Source organism: Homo sapiens, chromosome 11 (genome assembly GCF_000001405.40).
Source record: "Homo sapiens chromosome 11, GRCh38.p14 Primary Assembly".
Taxonomy (NCBI): Eukaryota; Metazoa; Chordata; class Mammalia; order Primates; family Hominidae; genus Homo; species Homo sapiens.
In genome coordinates this window covers 809,668-825,835 of record NC_000011.10, presented here as the reverse complement: position 1 = coordinate 825,835, position 16,168 = coordinate 809,668, and the positions used below count along the sequence as shown (strand labels likewise).

The 16,168-nt window shown below is 59.3% G+C and overlaps 2 protein-coding genes and 1 non-coding gene across 3 annotated transcripts, besides 6 other annotated features; all 3 read right to left on the bottom strand.

The window, feature by feature from the left end:
- Positions 263 to 6,922, bottom strand: PNPLA2 (patatin like domain 2, triacylglycerol lipase). Its single transcript, NM_020376.4, has 10 exons — positions 6,878 to 6,922; positions 5,931 to 6,262; positions 3,976 to 4,208; positions 3,813 to 3,878; positions 3,230 to 3,439; positions 2,249 to 2,309; positions 1,981 to 2,142; positions 1,706 to 1,838; positions 1,400 to 1,522; positions 263 to 1,313 (listed from the first exon to the last, which is right to left on the bottom strand). The coding sequence occupies exons 2-10, from the start codon at positions 6,115 to 6,117 to the stop codon at positions 974 to 976; spliced, it is 1,515 nt and encodes a 504-aa protein (NP_065109.1). The 5' UTR covers positions 6,118 to 6,262; positions 6,878 to 6,922; the 3' UTR covers positions 263 to 973.
- Positions 5,288 to 5,337: an enhancer, noted in NCBI's record as "active region_4287". NCBI's record gives its function as "activates an Ori minimal core promoter by ATAC-STARR-seq in GM12878 lymphoblastoid cells {active_cell/tissue: GM12878}" and the evidence as "EXISTENCE:reporter gene assay evidence [ECO:0000049][PMID:35858748]".
- Positions 5,788 to 6,677: a silencer, noted in NCBI's record as "silent region_3036". NCBI's record gives its function as "represses an Ori minimal core promoter by ATAC-STARR-seq in GM12878 lymphoblastoid cells {active_cell/tissue: GM12878}" and the evidence as "EXISTENCE:reporter gene assay evidence [ECO:0000049][PMID:35858748]".
- Positions 6,873 to 7,167: an enhancer, noted in NCBI's record as "tiled region #11801; HepG2 Activating DNase unmatched - State 1:Tss, and K562 Activating DNase matched - State 1:Tss". NCBI's record gives its function as "activates a minimal TATA promoter and a strong SV40 promoter by Sharpr-MPRA in HepG2 and K562 cells {active_cell/tissue: HepG2 | K562}" and the evidence as "EXISTENCE:reporter gene assay evidence [ECO:0000049][PMID:27701403]".
- RPLP2 (ribosomal protein lateral stalk subunit P2) lies at positions 12,960 to 15,869 on the bottom strand. The gene is made up of 5 exons (NM_001004.4): positions 15,797 to 15,869; positions 15,479 to 15,602; positions 14,191 to 14,239; positions 13,203 to 13,301; positions 12,960 to 13,076 (listed from the first exon to the last, which is right to left on the bottom strand). The coding sequence occupies exons 2-5, from the start codon at positions 15,599 to 15,601 to the stop codon at positions 13,000 to 13,002; spliced, it is 348 nt and encodes a 115-aa protein (NP_000995.1). The 5' UTR covers position 15,602; positions 15,797 to 15,869; the 3' UTR covers positions 12,960 to 12,999.
- Positions 13,049 to 13,789: an enhancer, noted in NCBI's record as "H3K4me1 hESC enhancer chr11:812047-812787 (GRCh37/hg19 assembly coordinates)". NCBI's record gives its function as "activates a minimal SCP1, AML or CMV promoter by ChIP-STARR-seq in primed H9 embryonic stem cells {active_cell/tissue: H9 hESC(primed)}" and the evidence as "EXISTENCE:reporter gene assay evidence [ECO:0000049][PMID:30033119]".
- Positions 13,790 to 14,530: an enhancer, noted in NCBI's record as "H3K4me1 hESC enhancer chr11:811306-812046 (GRCh37/hg19 assembly coordinates)". NCBI's record gives its function as "activates a minimal SCP1, AML or CMV promoter by ChIP-STARR-seq in primed H9 embryonic stem cells {active_cell/tissue: H9 hESC(primed)}" and the evidence as "EXISTENCE:reporter gene assay evidence [ECO:0000049][PMID:30033119]".
- Positions 14,022 to 14,155, bottom strand: SNORA52 (small nucleolar RNA, H/ACA box 52). The gene has a single exon (NR_002585.1). It is a non-coding gene; the product is annotated as a small nucleolar RNA, H/ACA box 52 (small nucleolar RNA).
- Positions 15,554 to 15,823: a silencer, noted in NCBI's record as "silent region_3035". NCBI's record gives its function as "represses an Ori minimal core promoter by ATAC-STARR-seq in GM12878 lymphoblastoid cells {active_cell/tissue: GM12878}" and the evidence as "EXISTENCE:reporter gene assay evidence [ECO:0000049][PMID:35858748]".

Here is a 16,168-nt window from a genome sequence, read left to right as displayed (position 1 = left end):
CTGCCTCCATATCCCAGCCCTGCCCTGTGTACTGGCAGGAGGCTGGGCAGGGGAACAAGAAGGTATGTGCACCAGGCCAGAGAGGCTTGTGAGGGTGGGGGGACAGAGAACTTTGGGCCAAACGCCCAAGTGGAGCAGGGGCCCAGCTTTCCCAGGTCCCCTGTGCTTGGTTTCAGGAACCTCAGCCCCCACAGCTGGCCAAGCCCCAAAACAGTCACACACCCCACTGTGTCACCGTGTGAGGGGAGGGGCAGGCGACACCTTTTGCAAACATTTTCGTTTTTATTTACCAAGAATCTTGGTCCCAAATATTTCCATTGGCCCTCAGAAGGCTGTGGCCAAGGGTCAGCCAGGAGGCTGCTGGGCAAAATTGGGGGGGGTGTGGATGCATCCTAGACAGGGGGGTCGGCAGGAATGCAGTACGTTCATATGTGCCTGTAGGGGGGTGTTCCCAGGCCAGCCTGGCAGGTTCCAAATGCCAGGCCCAGGAGTGCGACGCTGGGAGACCTGGCCTGCAGCTGTGGAGAGGCTGGTCAGCCAAGGTAGGGCCAGACCCTGGCCACCAGGCTCTCACTGCAAGTAAGCAGGCGGTCACATACACACAAAGTGGGCAGAGGCTGGGCTGCAGCATTTATTACATGTGCTTTGGCGAAAATAAATAATTCTTCACACACATATTTCAGCAGGCCATGAAAAACGGGGAGGGAAGGGCAGCTGCAAAGTTCTCAGGAGTAAAGGGGCGGGGGAGGTGCTCGGGCAGCACAGGGGAGGGAAGATTAAGGCACAGGTGCGCGGGGCCTCAGCGGCCCAGGGGAGGGGTGTGGAAACCTCCCCTCTCAGTGCATGCAGCTGGTGAGTGGCTGGCGAGGGGGCCCACGGCAAAGACCCCTCTTGGCAACTGTGAGTCCCCTCATCTCACTGCGCAGTGGTAATGGAGGCGTCTCAGGCAGGGTTCCTCGAGAGGGTCGGGGTCTCACAGCCCCAGGGCCCCGATCACGGGCCGGGCCTCGGGAGCAGGGGTGCTCAGCAAGGGGGCAGGCCCGGCCAGCTGGTGCTGCGGGGATGCTGGGTCCGCGGGGGCGGGAGCCGGGTCGGCGGGTGCGCGCATGCGCAGAGCTTCGGGCGGGAAGGCCACGTTGGTGCAGAAGAGGCCGAGCAGCAGCTGGCGCTGGCACTCCTCCCACTTGGCCAGCGCGTCCCCCAGCGAGAGGTTGTTGCGCATCCAGCCGGGCAGTGCCTCTCTGTAGGCGGCGCAGGACAGCGGCACGGACGGCAGCGACTGGACGCGGCGCAGCTCCACCTGCTCCGGCAGCCTGCGGGGCAGGGATGCGGCAGGGAGGGCTTCAGCTCCCGGCGCTAGCACCGCGGGCCCCGGGTGGACGCGCGGTCGGCGGCTCACCTGGAGGGCAGGTGCCTGCCCAGCTTCCTCTTGGCGCGCATCACCAGGTACTGGCAGATGCTGCCCGTCTGCTCCTTCATCCACCGGATGTCCTCGGGAACGTCGGGCAGCCACTCCAGCAAGCTGGGGACAGGGCGAGCGGCGCGTTCAGGGACTTGGCCAGACCCACATGCCCACCCGCCGGGCCCTGTCTGTGCCCTGACTTGGCACTGCTCACCCCACCCCACCTTCCCTGGTAACCATCACTCGCGGATGATCCCAAAGTCCGTCCCCTGGGCCCCTCTCCCGACCCCCCAGCCCTCACACCGGATGGTGAAGGACAGAGCGCTCTCCAGCGGCAGCGTGTAGGGCACCATCATGGCCGTGGCCAGACGCACAGGCAGCATGTTGGAGAGGGTGGTCAGCAGGTCCGTGGGCTCCACGCAGGCCTCCAGCAGGGCTGCGGGTGGGCGGGAGGTCGGCGGCCAGTGGAGGCAGCGGGGCCCAGGACCCGCTCGGCTTCCCTCCCCTGCTCACCGTCCTCTCCTCTCTCTCTTTCCCTCCTGCCTCCCCTCCTCCCCTCCCGTCCCCCAGGTGCGCACCCTCATTGAGCCGGGCGGGCAGGTGCTCCAGGATGTGATCTTCTCCGGGCAGCTGCGAGTAATCCTCCGCTTGGGCGCTCTCCACTGCCTGGTCCTTGTCCTCTGGGCCGTGGGGGCGGGCGGGGGGCAACGCCAGCAAGGGGTTGGGCCGGTTCAGGAGGCCTGGGGTTGGGGAGAGAAGGGATTCTCAGTTCATCAGCGCGGCCGCGGCCCGCAGGGGGTAGCAGAGCCGAGCCCACCCCGCCCTCTCCCGCCCGGGTCCGCGCACCGTTCCGCTGCAGAAAGCGCAGGCCATCCCGGTATCCCTGCTTGCACATCTCTCGCAGCACCTGCAGTGAGGAGGGTTAAATGGAGCGGAGGGAGCCAGGGATGCCCGTTCTGCCCCTGGAATCCCTGGCACCCCCAACAGCCACCTCCCTTCACTACCCGCAGCTCCCAACCCCAAAACCTATCCTAGATCCAGAACAAGATCAAAGCTGTACAGGGAGGTTGGACAGAAAGCCGGGCGCAGTGGCTTACACCTGTAACCCCAGCACTTTGGGAGGCTGAGGCAGGCGGATGACGAGGTCAGGAGATCAAGACCATCCTGGCTAACACGGTGAAACCCCGTCTCTACTAAAAATACAAAAAATTAGCCAGGCGTGGTGGTGGGCACCTGTAGTCCCAGCTACTGGGGAGGCTGAGGCAGGAGAATGGCAGGAACCCGGGAGGTGGAGCTTGCAGTGAGAGGAGATCCAGCCACTGCACTCCAGCCTGGGTGACAGTGTGAGACTTCATCTCAAAAAAAAAATAAAAAAATAAAATAGTTTGAGGCCAGCCTGGCCAACATGGTGAAACCCTATTTCTTTACTAAAAATACAAAAAGTAGCCAGGCATGGTGGCAGGCGCCTGTAATCCCAGCTAATGGGGAGGCTGAGGCAGGAGAATAGCTTGAACCTTGGAGGCAGAGGTTGCAGTGAGCTGAGATCCTGCCACTGCACTCCAGCCTTGGCAACAGAGCGAGACTCCGTCTCAAACAAAAAAAAAAAAAAAAAAGAGAGAGAGACTGGACAGGGAGCCTGGACAGAGCAGCTAGACAGAGAGGTTGGATGGGCCATCTGCCCCTAGAAAGGTTGTGCGCTTTCCCCAGCCCTCAGAAGAGGCTCCCACCACCCTACCCTGGGCACTCAGAAGTCAAAGGATCAGTGTTCTCCCTTGGTGCCCAGTGAGGAGTGGCTGGGAAGGCCACAGTCCTCGGAGCAGAGCTCACCAGGGGCTCCGGCGGGAAGAGGGCCTTGGAGAGGCGGTAGAGGTTGCGCAGGTTGAACTGGATGCTGGTGTTGGTGACCCGCAGCTCGTGGATGTTGGTGGAGCTGTCCTGCGGACAGATGTCACTCTCGCCCGAGAAGGGGGACACTGTGATGGTGTTCTTAAGCTCATAGAGTGGCAGGTTGTCTGAAATGCCACCATCCACGTAGCGCTTCCACGGGACACACAGACAGGACCGTATGTGAGGGCCTGTGGCTGCACTGGCCACCCACCCCAGCCACCCCACCCGGCCACCAAGGGCCCCATTCAGTGGCTACCTCATTTGAGCGTTTTACCCACTGGGCACTGGCTGTGGGCCAGCCTGGGCACTGAGCAGATGGTAGACGGGGGAGGGCAGGGACGGAGGAAGGGATGGGGGGCCAGGAAGCGTGCGTTGCCACAGCTGTTTCTTGAGTAACACAGGGGAAGTGGGTAACAGGCGGTGGCAGAGCAAGGGCCTGAAGGATGGCTCTAGGCGGCCTCCTCCTCTGTCCCTCATCCCACGGCCCACCCCATAGAAGGTGTCCAGGGCTAGGAATACTCACCACCCCCTGGAGGGAGGGAGGGATGAGCCCACAGTACACGGGGATGAAACCGCTGCAGACATTGGCCTTCAGGGCAGGGACAGAGTGGGAGAGAATGAGCAGAGGCCTTGAGGTTCCCACTGCCCCCCCCACCGCCACCCAGCATGGCTCCACCAGGCCCCACCTGGATGAGCTCGTCCTTGGAGTTGAAGTGGGATATAATGACATTCTCGCCGTCTGACACGCGGGTCAGGGAGATGCCCAGGCGCCCACTGGCATGCTCATGGCTATCAGCAGGCAGGACCTTCAGCAGGAAACTGCGGATGATCTTTACCAGGTTGAAGGAGGGGTGCAGGGGGCCCAGGAACCGCTTCCGGGCCTCTTTAGATACCTCAATGAACTTGGCACCAGCCTCACCTGGGGCACAGGGCCAAGGTTAGGGGCCCATGCTCCTGGGCTTAGCAACACCCACCTTCCTTCATAGCCCCATGTCCAGGGTTCCATGGCATACAGACCCTGGAGGAGGCCCAGTGAATGTGGGGCCTGGCTCACAGTTGGGACTTTGGCCACCTCCCCTGGGATGGCAGACAGCAGAGGCTGGCCAGCTGAGACCAGGACCTGCCCTCTGCCTGGTATTTCCCAACTGCCTGCCCTATGAGTCACTGGGCCTGGTGTGGCATCTAGCCCAGGAGAGGGGACAAGGCAGAAACTCAACTCTGACCGGCCTTAGCCTTCACCCACTTGGCCAGATCCAGCAGTGCGGGGATGGGGCAGACCCACAAAACCCATCCCGGCACACAGGTCACAGTTCACAGGCCCGGGAGTGTTGGGCTGGAAGTAGTCAGGGCCCAGTTCCTAGGAAGGCACACCTGTGTCCCACTGCAGCCAAGAGGAAGCACCCCAAACACTCCTCTTGGGGCGCAGGAGTGCTGGCCAGCTTGGGGATAGTCCCTGGAAGTGGTCGGGAGCACTGAGGGAGGAGCTGAGGTCCAAGCCCTCCTCCAGTGCATCACCCTGGTCAGGAGTGGGGCAGTGTGGAGCCAGGGGCTCTTCAGCCAGCACCTGCTGCACTATGGGCTCCAGCTGTGCAAGACCACCCGTGAGAAGGAGTCTTGTTGGGAGCAGGGTGGGGAAGCACTGTGGGAGAGGTGTCCTTGGCTCGGGTAGCAGGGACCTTGATGTATCTTGAAGCCAGGGGGCCGACTGAGGCGCTTGTCTGAAGGCCTCCATGAGAGGGAGGGGGCTGGAGGGGGCTGTTCCCAATAATAGCTCTAGTTATTGGGACCTGAGAGGTTCACTTCTGTGGTCCAGCCCCCTCCCTCCCAGGACAAAGTTCAGAGGAAGAGGGCAGGGGTGAGCCCCGGACAGGCTCCTGCTGAGCAGAGTGCCCCTGTCATCTTGGGTGTCCTCACAGGCTCCTGAAGTCGTGTGCTGTAAACATCACTCCCTCATGGCAGCCGATGGTGCGAGCCGAGGCCAGCCCAGCACACAGAGACCCATCCACTCCTGACCCAGGCACCAGAGCCCAGAAGCACCCTCACCCATGAAGTGTGCAAACGCGGTGGGCCGCAGCGGGGAGCCAGGCCACAGGGCACCGTGTGCAAGGAGAGGGCAGGAGAGCCCCTTCGCGCCCAGCCCTGACCTCAGCGGGGCTCCTCCTCCGGGCCCTTGGGAAGGACCAGGTCACGGTTCCCAGACGCCTCTCAAGAGGCTACCCCCATGCCAGGCCCCCTGATAGCAGCCTGCAACTGCGGAAGCCCAGGACACTGTGACCGATCGCTGGCACCGGTTGTAATATCCAGGGCCACGGGGTGACTTAGGTCCCTCCTCGGATTCTCACGGTCCCGCCCACGAGTTACTTTTTCTGTCCAATTAAGCAGCTTTTGCTGCACCTGCCCGCCCCCAAACCTTTGCGCCAGACAGGCGGGCCCCGGGCACCCTCGGAGCAAAACAAACCAGGCCCCGCCCCCAGGCCAGCGACCCGGATTGGATCCTCGCCGGGTTCCCCAGGCGCGGACCGGAACCCTCCCCACGGTACCCACCGACTCGCCGCGGGGCCCCTCCGCTCACGGAGACCATCCCCCGGCCCCGCACGGCCTTCCCGCCAGCCCCCCGCCTGCCGCCCCCGGCCCCGCTCACCCAGGCAGACCCCGGTGACCAGCGCCGTGGCCGTGAGCGCCCCGGCCGAGGCGCCGTAGATGTGCGTGGCGTTGGCCACCAGGAAGGGCGCGTGCTCGCGGAGGCAGGAGGCCACGCCGACGTAGTAGACGCCGAGGAAGCCGCAGCCCGCGAACGAGATGTTCCACGTCTTCTCGCGGGGAAACATCGCGGCGGCGGCCGCCGGGCCCCGGGTTCCGTGGGCGGCCAGGCCTCTGTGAGCCGCCTGCTCGCCGCTCGCTCGCTGGAGCCGGGGGCCGGGCAGGTCCCGCTGCGGCTCTAGCTCGGGGTCCCCGCTGGCGGAGGCGAAGAAGCTACGCGGGCGGCGCGGAGGCGGCGCTTTTAAGTGTGGGACTCACGGCGGGGGCGGGGCCGGCACACGAAGACCAATCGGGGCGCGCAGGGAACGGCCGTGCCCTCGGGACCCGCCCCCGTCCTTGACCCGGCCCCCCGCGCTGGAGCCCCGCCCTCCGCTGCCGCCCGGAGAAAGCTTCTGCCCTCCCTCCGCCCCTGCTGGGCACGGCTGGGGGCACACGCCTAGGGGTGTAGGGTGGGCTGGGCGCAGGCCCGAGCCTGGGGGCCGGAAGCCTCACACAGACCTGGGTACCGGCGAGAGGGAGCTCTGGTTTCAGGGCAGCCACCGCCCCTCCCCACCGGGTCCGCCTCCCACACCCACCCGGGACAGAGGAGCTGGTCCCTGGACAGAGGCGCACCGGCAGCACCCCCAGACCTGAAAGCCGCACAGGCCTCGGGAGCCCCGGGACCCACAGGCTCACCCACAGACAGACCCATAAACATCCAAGGCCAAGGCCGGATGCGAGTCCCGCAAACCCTTCGTGGGGGACCCCAGCTCCGCAGACCCACGCGACCTGACGTGGGGCCTCAGCCCTGCCCCGCGCCCGCGACCCTTCCGGACCTTGGCTTCTTACCTGGGTCTGGCCCTGCCTGTTCAGGCTTTGGGGCTGCCTGCGTCTGACTGGGGCCGCCCTGCTCCCGATAATTGCCCCAGAGGTGGAGCAATCCTGGGTGATGTCACCCTTTCACCCCTTTTCCGCATTTTTCTCCTGGTCAGTGGAGCAAACAGGGCTTGGAGTAGATCCAGGATCCCTCCCTGAACCTCACCCCACCCCCAAACGAGAGGCTTTCTCAGGTTGGGGTGGGAGGCAATGAGATTCTGTCTCCCCAGGAACACTGGCTCCCCAGGCTGAGGTCATCTCTGGACCTAGCTGTTGCCAGAGCTGCAGAGGGTCTGGGATGGGGCTTGGGGCTGCCCCCAACCCAAGCTGAGTTAGGGAAGCCAGAACAGGGCCAGAACAGGATGGGGCCATCTAGGGGGATGCTGCCCAGTCCTCAGCCTCTTTGCTCCCAGCCATCCCAGACAGCACTGGAAAGTCAACCCTGCCCCAGCCCTACTGGGGGCCGGTAGGCATTTACATAAGCTCAAAATGAGAGGAGGCCGGGTGTGGAAGCTCACACCTGTAATCCCAGCACTTGGGGAGGCCAAGACGGGCGGATCACAGAAAGTCGGGAGTTTGAGACCGCCTGGCTGGTGAAACGCTGTCTCTACCAAAAATACAAAAATTAGCCGGTCAGGGTGGCACACGCCTGTAATCCCAGCTACTCGGGAGGCTGAGGCAGGAGAATCACTTGAACCTGGGAGGCGGAGGTTGCAGTGAGCTGAGATCGCACCACTGCACTCCAGCCTGGGGGGCAGAGCGAGGCTCCGTCCTAAAAAGAGGCCGGGCACAGTGGCCCATGCCTGTAATCCCAGCACTTTGGGAGGCCGAGGAGGGCAGATCACCTGAGGTCAGGAGTTTGAGACCAGCCAGGCCAACATGGCAAAACCCTGTCTCTACTGAAAATACAAAAATTTGCCAGGTGTGGTAGTGCACGCATGTAGTCCTAGCTACTCGGGAGGCTGAGGCAAGAGAGTCACTTGAACCCGGGAGGCAGAGGTTGCAGTGAACTGAGATTGTGCCACTGCACTCCAGCCTGGCCAGGTGACAGAGCATGACTTCTTCTCAAAAAAAAAAAAAAAAAGAAAAAAGAAAAATGAGTGAGAGGAGGTAGGTAACCACGTGTGGGGCACCTAAGGGGTTCTGGAGGGCTTCCCTGTGGGAAGTGATGCTGAGTTGAATTTTGAAGGGTAAATGAGCAGACCCAGGCAGCCGACCAGGACAGGCGAAGATTGTCGGGGAGTGAGGGGAGAGAGTAGCTGAAGCCCAGCCATGGGAGAGGGTCAAGCAGGGAGGACGTGACCATACCTGACTTAAAGCGACTCCTTCTAGGCTGGGCACAGTGGTTCACACCTATAATCCCAGCACTCTGGGAGGCCAAGGTGGGGGGATTGCTTGAGTCCAGAAGTTTGAGACCAGCCTAGGCAACATAGCTTGATTCCATCCCTACAAAAAATTTAAAAATAGGCCAGGCACAGTGGCTCACACCTGTAATCCCAGCACTTTGGGAGGTTGAGGTGAGTGGATCACGAGGTCAGGAGATCGAGACCATCCTGGCTACCATGGTGAAACCCTGTCTCTACTAAAAATACAAAAAAAAAAAATAGCCAGGTGTGGTGGTGGGCGCCTGTAATCCCAGCTACTCCGGAGGCTGAGACAGGAGAATGGTGTGAACTCGGGAGGCGGAGCTTGCAGTGAGCCCAGATCGCCGCACTGCACTCCAGCCTGGGCGACAGAGTGAAACTCTGTCTCAAAAATAATAATAAATAAATAATAAAAATGCCGGGTACAGTGGCTCACTCCTGTAATCCCAGCACTTTGGGAGGCCAAGGCGGGCAGATCACAAGATCAGGAGATTGAGACCATCCTGGCTAATACGGTGAAACCCCATCTCTACTAAAAATACAAAAAAATTAGCTGGGTGCGTGGTGGCAGGCACCTGTAGTCCCAGCTACTTGCGAGGCTGAGGCAGGAGAATGGTGTGAACCTGGGAGGCGGAGCTTGCAGTGAGCCGATATCACACCACTGTGCTCCAGCCTGGGTGACAGAGCAAGACTCCGTCTCAAAAACAATAAATAAATAAAATAAAATAATAAAAATATTTTTAAAATAAAAAGTAAAATAAACAAATAAATAAAAACTAAGCCAGCTGTGGTGCGCGCACCTATAGTCTCAGCGACTCAGGAGGCTGCGGTTGGAGGATGGACTGAGTCTGGGCTGGGTGGGGGTGAGCCATGATTGCGCCTCTGCACGTCAGCCTGGGTGACAGAGTGAGACCCTGTCTCAAAAACAAAACAAGACTCTTCTATTCTGCGCATGTGGGGCCTCTTCTCCCACGTGTTTGGATGGAGGTACCCTGCAGCAAATGCACCATGGGATTGGGGAGGGAGGGCCAGGGTATGGAGGGCGGGGCCAGGTCCATTCCTGAGGTGTCAGGAGCTCTCTGTGACTGGATTCCAGCGATGCTGTTGGAGACAGCATGGTTCAGGGTACGGCAAAGTAGGGATGGAAGTCCAGGGGCTCGTCAGGGCAACCACTGATGGGGAAGCCAGGGACTTAGGGTCCTTCCCTCAACCTGCTCCAAGGGAAAGGCCAGGGTTCGGGCCTTAGCCCCATCTGAGGGACTGTCGCCTTGATGGATGGTGCTGCCCCAGTGAAGGGAGACCTCTGCTCCCATTTCCACAGCTGGGTCAGGCTGTTTTGGGTACATGTTCCTCCCTCCAGGCCCCTGGGAGGCTCAGGAGCCAGGAACTGGGCGGTCCTTCCCAGAATCCTGGCAAGGGCTGGGAGCACCCCACCATCAGGACAAGCTCCAAGGGGCAGCTCAATGAGAAACCCAGGTGGTGTGACGTCCCCCTATCATGGTGAACTCCAGGCGACACAGGCCCCCTCCCTTCAGGGTCCAAGGCTGGAATTGTGAGGTCTGCACCCTGAAGCCTAGGTCCACTCCTGCTGTGGGCCCCTTCCCTGAGCCTGGGCCATCCCCAGCACCAACCTTACCCCTGCCTCCTTGTAGGGAGCACTGCTCCCTGAGCCTGGGCGATCCCCAGCCCCCGCCTCACCCCTGCCCCGTTGTAGTGAGCACTGCTCCCTGCACTCCTTAGCTGTACCCTGCTGGGGTCATTTCTCTTTGCTTCCTCCTCCATCTGCTGCCCCACCCCTACTACCCAGGTTCCGGCCTCCTCCACTCCTCACCTGGCTTTACTCCCACCCTAATCTCTGCTTTTACGGGCATCCAAAAAGGTTTTTTTAAAAATATTATTAAGGCCGGGCACGGTGGCTCACACCTGTAATCCCAGCACTTTGGGAGGCCAAAGCAGGTGGGTTGCCTGAGCCAAGAGTTTGAGACCAGCCTGGCCAACGTGGTGAAACCCCATCTCTACAAAAAGATACAAAAATTAGCTGTGTTGGTGGCACACATCAGTAGTCCCAGTTACTCTGGAGGCTGAGGTGGGAAGATCACTTGAGCCTGGGAGGTCAAGGCTGCCATGAGCCAAGATCCTGCCACTGCACTCCAACCTGGGCAACACAGTGAGCCTCCGACTCAAAATATAAGATAAAATACAAAATAAAACAAAATATAAATGTAGGCCAGGCACAGTGGCTCACGCCTGTAATCCCAGCAGTTTCAGAGGCCGAGGCAGGAGGATCATTTGAGGCCAGGAGTTTGAGACCAACCTAGGCAACATGATGAAACCCCATCTCTACTAAAAATACAGAAATTAGCCAGGTGTGGAGGCGCGTGCCTGTAATTCCAGCTGCTCAAGAAGCTGAGGCATGAGAATTGCTTGAACCTGGAATGCAGAGGTTGCAGTGAGCCGAGATCGTGCCACTGCACTCCAGCCTGGACGACTAGAGCGAAACTCTGTCTCAAAAAATAAATAATGCCTGAAATCCCAGCACTTTGGGAGGCCGAGGTGGGCAGATCACGAAATCAGGAGATCGAGACCATCCTGGCTAACACGGTGAAACCCCGTCTCTACTAAAAAAAAAAATACAAAAATTAGCCGGGCGTGGTGGTGGGCACCTGTAGTCCCAGCTACTCTGGAGGTTGAGGTGAAGAATTACTTGAACCTGGGAGGTGGAGGTTGCAGTGAGCCGAGATCATGCCACTGCACGCCAGCCTGGGCGACAGAGTGAGATCACGTCTGGAAAAAATAAATAAATAAGGTAGCCGGGCGCGGTGGCTCACGCCTGTAATCCCAGCAGTTTGGGAGGCCGAGGCGGGCAGATCACGAAGTCAGGAGATCGAGACCATCCTGGCTAACACAGTGAAACCCCATCTCTACTAAAAAAAAAAAAAATACAAAAAATTAGGTGGGCGTGGTAGCGGGCGCCTGTAGTCCCAGCTACTCTGGAGGCTGAGGCAGGAGAGTGGCGTGAACCCGGGAGGCGGAGCTTGCAGTGAGATGGCGCCACTGCACTCCAGCCTGGGCGACAGAGCGAGACTCTGTCTCAAAAAAAAAAAAAAAAGAAAGAAAGAAGAAAGGCTAGGCGCAGTGGCTCATGCCTGTAATCCCAGCATTTTGGGAGGCCAAGGCGGGCGGATCACCTGAGGTCAGGAGTTCCAGACCAGCCTGGCCAACATGGTGAAACCCCATCTTTTCTAAAAATACAAAAAATTAGCTGGGACTGGTGGCAGGCACCTGTAGTCCCAGCTACTCAGGAGGCTGAGGCAGGAGAATCACTTGAACCAGAGAGGCGCAGGTTGCAGTGAGTGGAGAGTGTGCCACTTGCACTCCAGCCTGGGTAACAAGAGCAAAAGTCCATCTCAAAAAGAAAAAAAACAAAATAAATAAAAAGCATCTTGGGTCCCCCTCCATCTCAGTACTTTCTGTGGCTCCCTGGCTCCAACAATCCACATTCCTTCCCCTCCAGGGACTCTGCCTTCCTCCAGGTCTTGCCTTCCCATCTGAGGGAGGCCTCCCCCAGCCACCCCAACTGTCTTCTGTGCTATAGCCTATTTATCCTCCCAGAACTAAGGTGGTCACACAGCAGGTGCTCCCCACACCAAAGCCAGCGGGTGGGTTGCTGACCCCAAGCCTAGGGTGGGAGTGGCAGACCATCTTCTGGGTGCCTACGTTGGCGGGCAAAGACCCTGAGGCCTGGGAGACTGCGTACGGAGTAAGGCCAGGAGGGCAGAGAGGCTGGGAGGGGAGGGTGATGGCCTCTGTCCTTAGCCCTGTATTCCAGGACAGAGCCTGTCGGGGGAGGGCAGGCCCATCCCCAAAGGACCTAGTTCAGTGAGCACATGGCCCTGTGGTCACTTCCCACAAGCCCTGAGCACATCTGCCCAGTAAGGCAGGGGTGGGCTGTGATCGGCAAAAAAACAAGCCTGAGGAGTGATTGCCCAAGTTGCTCAGGGCATTATGGCGGAGCCATGACCCCTGCAGGGAAACCCAGGGGCGTCTGCCACCCCCAAGCTGGGCTCACTTCCTGCATCCATTTGTAGAGCCCAGGGGCTACCAATCCTGTCCTTGCAAGTCCAGGCACCAAGCCACCCCAAAGACAGAGCCCTGATTACCCAAACTCCATTGAAATCAGCTTCTCTGCTGTCCTTTTTTTTCAAGACAGGGTTTCTGCTGCTCAGGATGGAGTGCAGTGGCACTATCACGGCCCACTGTTAACTTCAACCTCCTGGGCAAGTGATCCTTCCATCTCAACTTCCCATAGTTGGGACTACAGGTGCACACCACGCCTTGTTAGGTTGTTTTTTAGAGATGGGGTCTTGCTATTTGCCCAGGCTGGTCTCAAACTGCTGGCCTCAAGTGATCTTCCCTCCTCGGCCTCCCAAAGTGCTGGGATAATGGGCACGAGCTACTGTGCCCAGCCCGTTCGCATTCTTCTGGGGTGTACTCAGGAGCTAGGATACTGCTCAAGGCCACAGGAAGGGACCCCAGGCAGCTGTGATGCCCAGACTCCCCTCCTCATGCTCATTTTGCACCAGAAACGCTTCCCCAATACCATGTTGCCCACACTTCAGCTCCACACCTGCCCTCTTGGATAAGAACCTGGGCAGAGGCCACCCTTGACAAAGTGCTCATGGAATACTTGAGAGATGTGTAAAAAGGCTTTATTTGCAGGGGAGCAGGAATTTAATCAAAAAGGCCAAATCCCATGTCATCATCTGACTCTTCAGACTCCTCCTTCTTCTCATCTTTCTTCTCCTCTGCTGTGGAACAGAGGAGAGGCATGGTGAGCACTGCCCAAGTGCCAGGCCAGTCCCCCCATGAAGACCCCACTGCAGCAACACCGTCTGAGCCCCAGCCCCTTGCCCACTCACCAGGCCACCACTTACCTGCAGCAGGGGCAGAACCAGCAGCAGGGGCTGCAGAGCCTGGGGCAGCAGAGACGGCTACAGCCCCACCAGCAGGTACACTGGCAAGCTTGCCAATACCTACAGAAAGCAGAGAGGTGAGACCAGAGCAGCTGCCCAGCCTGGGAGGCTGTTCCACAGGGAAGTTAGATGGCACCAGAGATGGCACATGGCACCCAACATATCTGGACCCACCATATGCCAGTGTCTCCCGTTCTTCCTGAACACTCCCTCCCTGAGCCACTCCTCAACGGGGACTTCTCTTCCCCACCTTTCCTATCCAGGGACTTGCCTTCTAGGAATTAGGCCCACACTGCCTGCCTGCCCAATTTCCCCACCTCCACCCTCAGAGGTCCACTGGACAGACATGTTCATAACTAGGTAGGGAATGAGTGTGCTGCCCCAGTATCCACATCTCTGGCCACAACGCTGTGTTCATGGCTTGGCCCGTTTGCTGAGCTGGCCCTGTCGTGGTCACATGCATGGAAGACAAGAACAGCTGCCCCAACAGCTCAACTTCCAAACAAGTTCCACCAGCTCAGCTGAAGCCAACAAAAAACCATCTGCCCAACAAAGAGGCAAGGAGCCTATGGACATCCCTGGCACCCTCAGTCCCTGCCCCCAACCCCCTCACAGAAAGCATGTGGTAAGGACTGCTGACGTGAACTCAGTTCTCCAGACACCAAGCTTCAGACAAATCCTGGGGAATGGCCTCAGGGCTAGGAGCAGTCAGGCTTAAGAGGCAGGGCCACCTAAACGTCTGCTGAGAACACAGGGTGCCCCCTGCTGCCCTGCTCCTGAGAGTGTCTAGAAGTGCCCATGACGTGAGCCCACTGGAGCCCTGCTCACTCCTCGGGTGAGGCTTCTAGGGTGCTCTGGTCCACAAGCGAAACCTGGCAGGCCACAGATGGACCGGCAGGGATTAGGATGGACCATGAAAACAAACGAAAGCCCGTCCACATCAACTCACCCTGGGCAATGACGTCTTCAATGTTTTTTCCATTCAGCTCACTGATAACCTGAAGCAGACAATCACAGGGCTGTTACCAGGAATGTACGATTGTATCCCCGGCCCTCTCCCTCCCAGAGTCACAGCAGGACTGGGTTCCCCACATGGGAATAGGCCCTGAAGTTTCCAGAACTGCACTGCCCAAAGGGAGCCACCAGCCTCACTTGGGAAGTGATATAAAAATAAATGGACACTAGCTTTCTTAGACTTAGGACTGACAAAAGGACACAGGGCATCTCACTACTTATGTTGACTACTCATAGGTATCTTCAACACTGGCAAAATAAACTGGCAATGAAATTGACTTTGACTTCAGGCTGGAGTGCAGTGGTAGGATCTCACTGCAGCCTTGACCTCCCGGGCTCAAGTGACTATCCCACCTCAGTCTGGGACTACAGGCATGAGCAACCAAGCCTGGCTAATTTTTTATTGTATTTTAGAGACGAGGCCTGGTTCTGTTAGACTGCAGTGGCACAATCACTACTCAGTGCAGCCTTGACCTCTAAGGCTCAAATGATTCTCCCGCATCAGCCTCATGAGTAGCTGAGACTACAGATGTGCACCACTGCCTCCAACCATTTTTTTTTTTTTTTTTTTTTGTGGAGACCGGGTCTTGCAATGTTTTCCAGACCAGTCTCGAACTTCAAGGCTCCAATAATCCACTCGCCATGGCCTCCCAAAGCCGGGTGAGCCATGCGCCAGGACTGCTTTTTTTTTTTTTTAACGCAATCTTACGCAGCTCACTGGTATTAAACTTCCAAAGCTTGTTAATCACGATTTTGCCTCGTACCCACCCTGCTTTTTTTTTTTTTTTTCCTTTTGAGACAGGGTCTCCTTCTGCCACCCAGACTGGAGTACAGTGGCACGATCCGTGCAACCTCCATCTCCCGGGTTCGAGCGATTTTCCTGCCTCAGCCTCCCAAGTAGGGGGACTACAGGCACCCACCACCACGCCCGGCTAATTTTTGTATTTTTAGTAGGGATGGGGTTTCGACATGTTTACCAGGCTGGTCTCGAACCCCTGACCTCAGGTGATCCGCCTGCCTCGTCCTCCCAAAGTACTGGGACTACAGGCGTGAGCCACCGCGCCCGACCTCCGCCCGGCTTACTTCTCTATCCAAGAAATCGCCAACTAGACTGAAACGAGCCTCTCCCCGAACCCTCCAGCATGTGGCCGGATCAGGCAGAAGAATCGCCTGTATGGGACACTGGGGCCCCACGGCGGCTGCGGGGCAAGGGCGGCCGCTACCTTGTTGAGCCGGTCGTCGTCCGCCTCGATACCCACGCTGTCCAAGATCTTCTTGATGTCCTTGGCGCTGGGGGAGGAGTTGCCCCCTAGGGCAGCCAGCAGGTAGGAGGCGACGTAGCGCATCCTGAGGCGGGCGGAGAGGACGCGACGGCGGAGTTACCCCGGCGGCCTCCTGCCGGCCCATCCCGGGGCCGCCGGGCGAGGCCGCGCGTGGCTCGGCCCGTAGGCCTCCGTCCCAAAAATACCCCGCCGCCCACCCCGCATCCCCACGGACTCCGCGTCCCCAGCCGGCACCCCGGGCCCGGTCACCACACTCACGCGGCGGCGTCTGCGGCGGAGGCGGCGGAGAAGTCTCACGCGTGCGACCTCGGTGGCGACAGGGAGGAAAAGGAAGGCGCCGACGCAAGAGGCGGGGTTAAACCGCTACCCAGAAGGCTCTGGGACCCGTGCGCGGCGCCGCATGAGGCGCCTCAGAGTGACGTCACGAGGCGCTCAGCCAATGACGACGGGGAGGGAGTCGTTGACTCCTTCCCCCTCCCCCTTCCCAGCCCCCGTCAGGCACTTTTCGCGGCAAAGGCGAAGGGCAGCAGTTCCGGAAGTGACTGCTCTTATAGCGTGGGGCGAAGGGCCACCGAAACTCGTGGGGGCGTTGGACGAAGCGAGTCCAAAGGGACGGCATCTGCCTTCGGT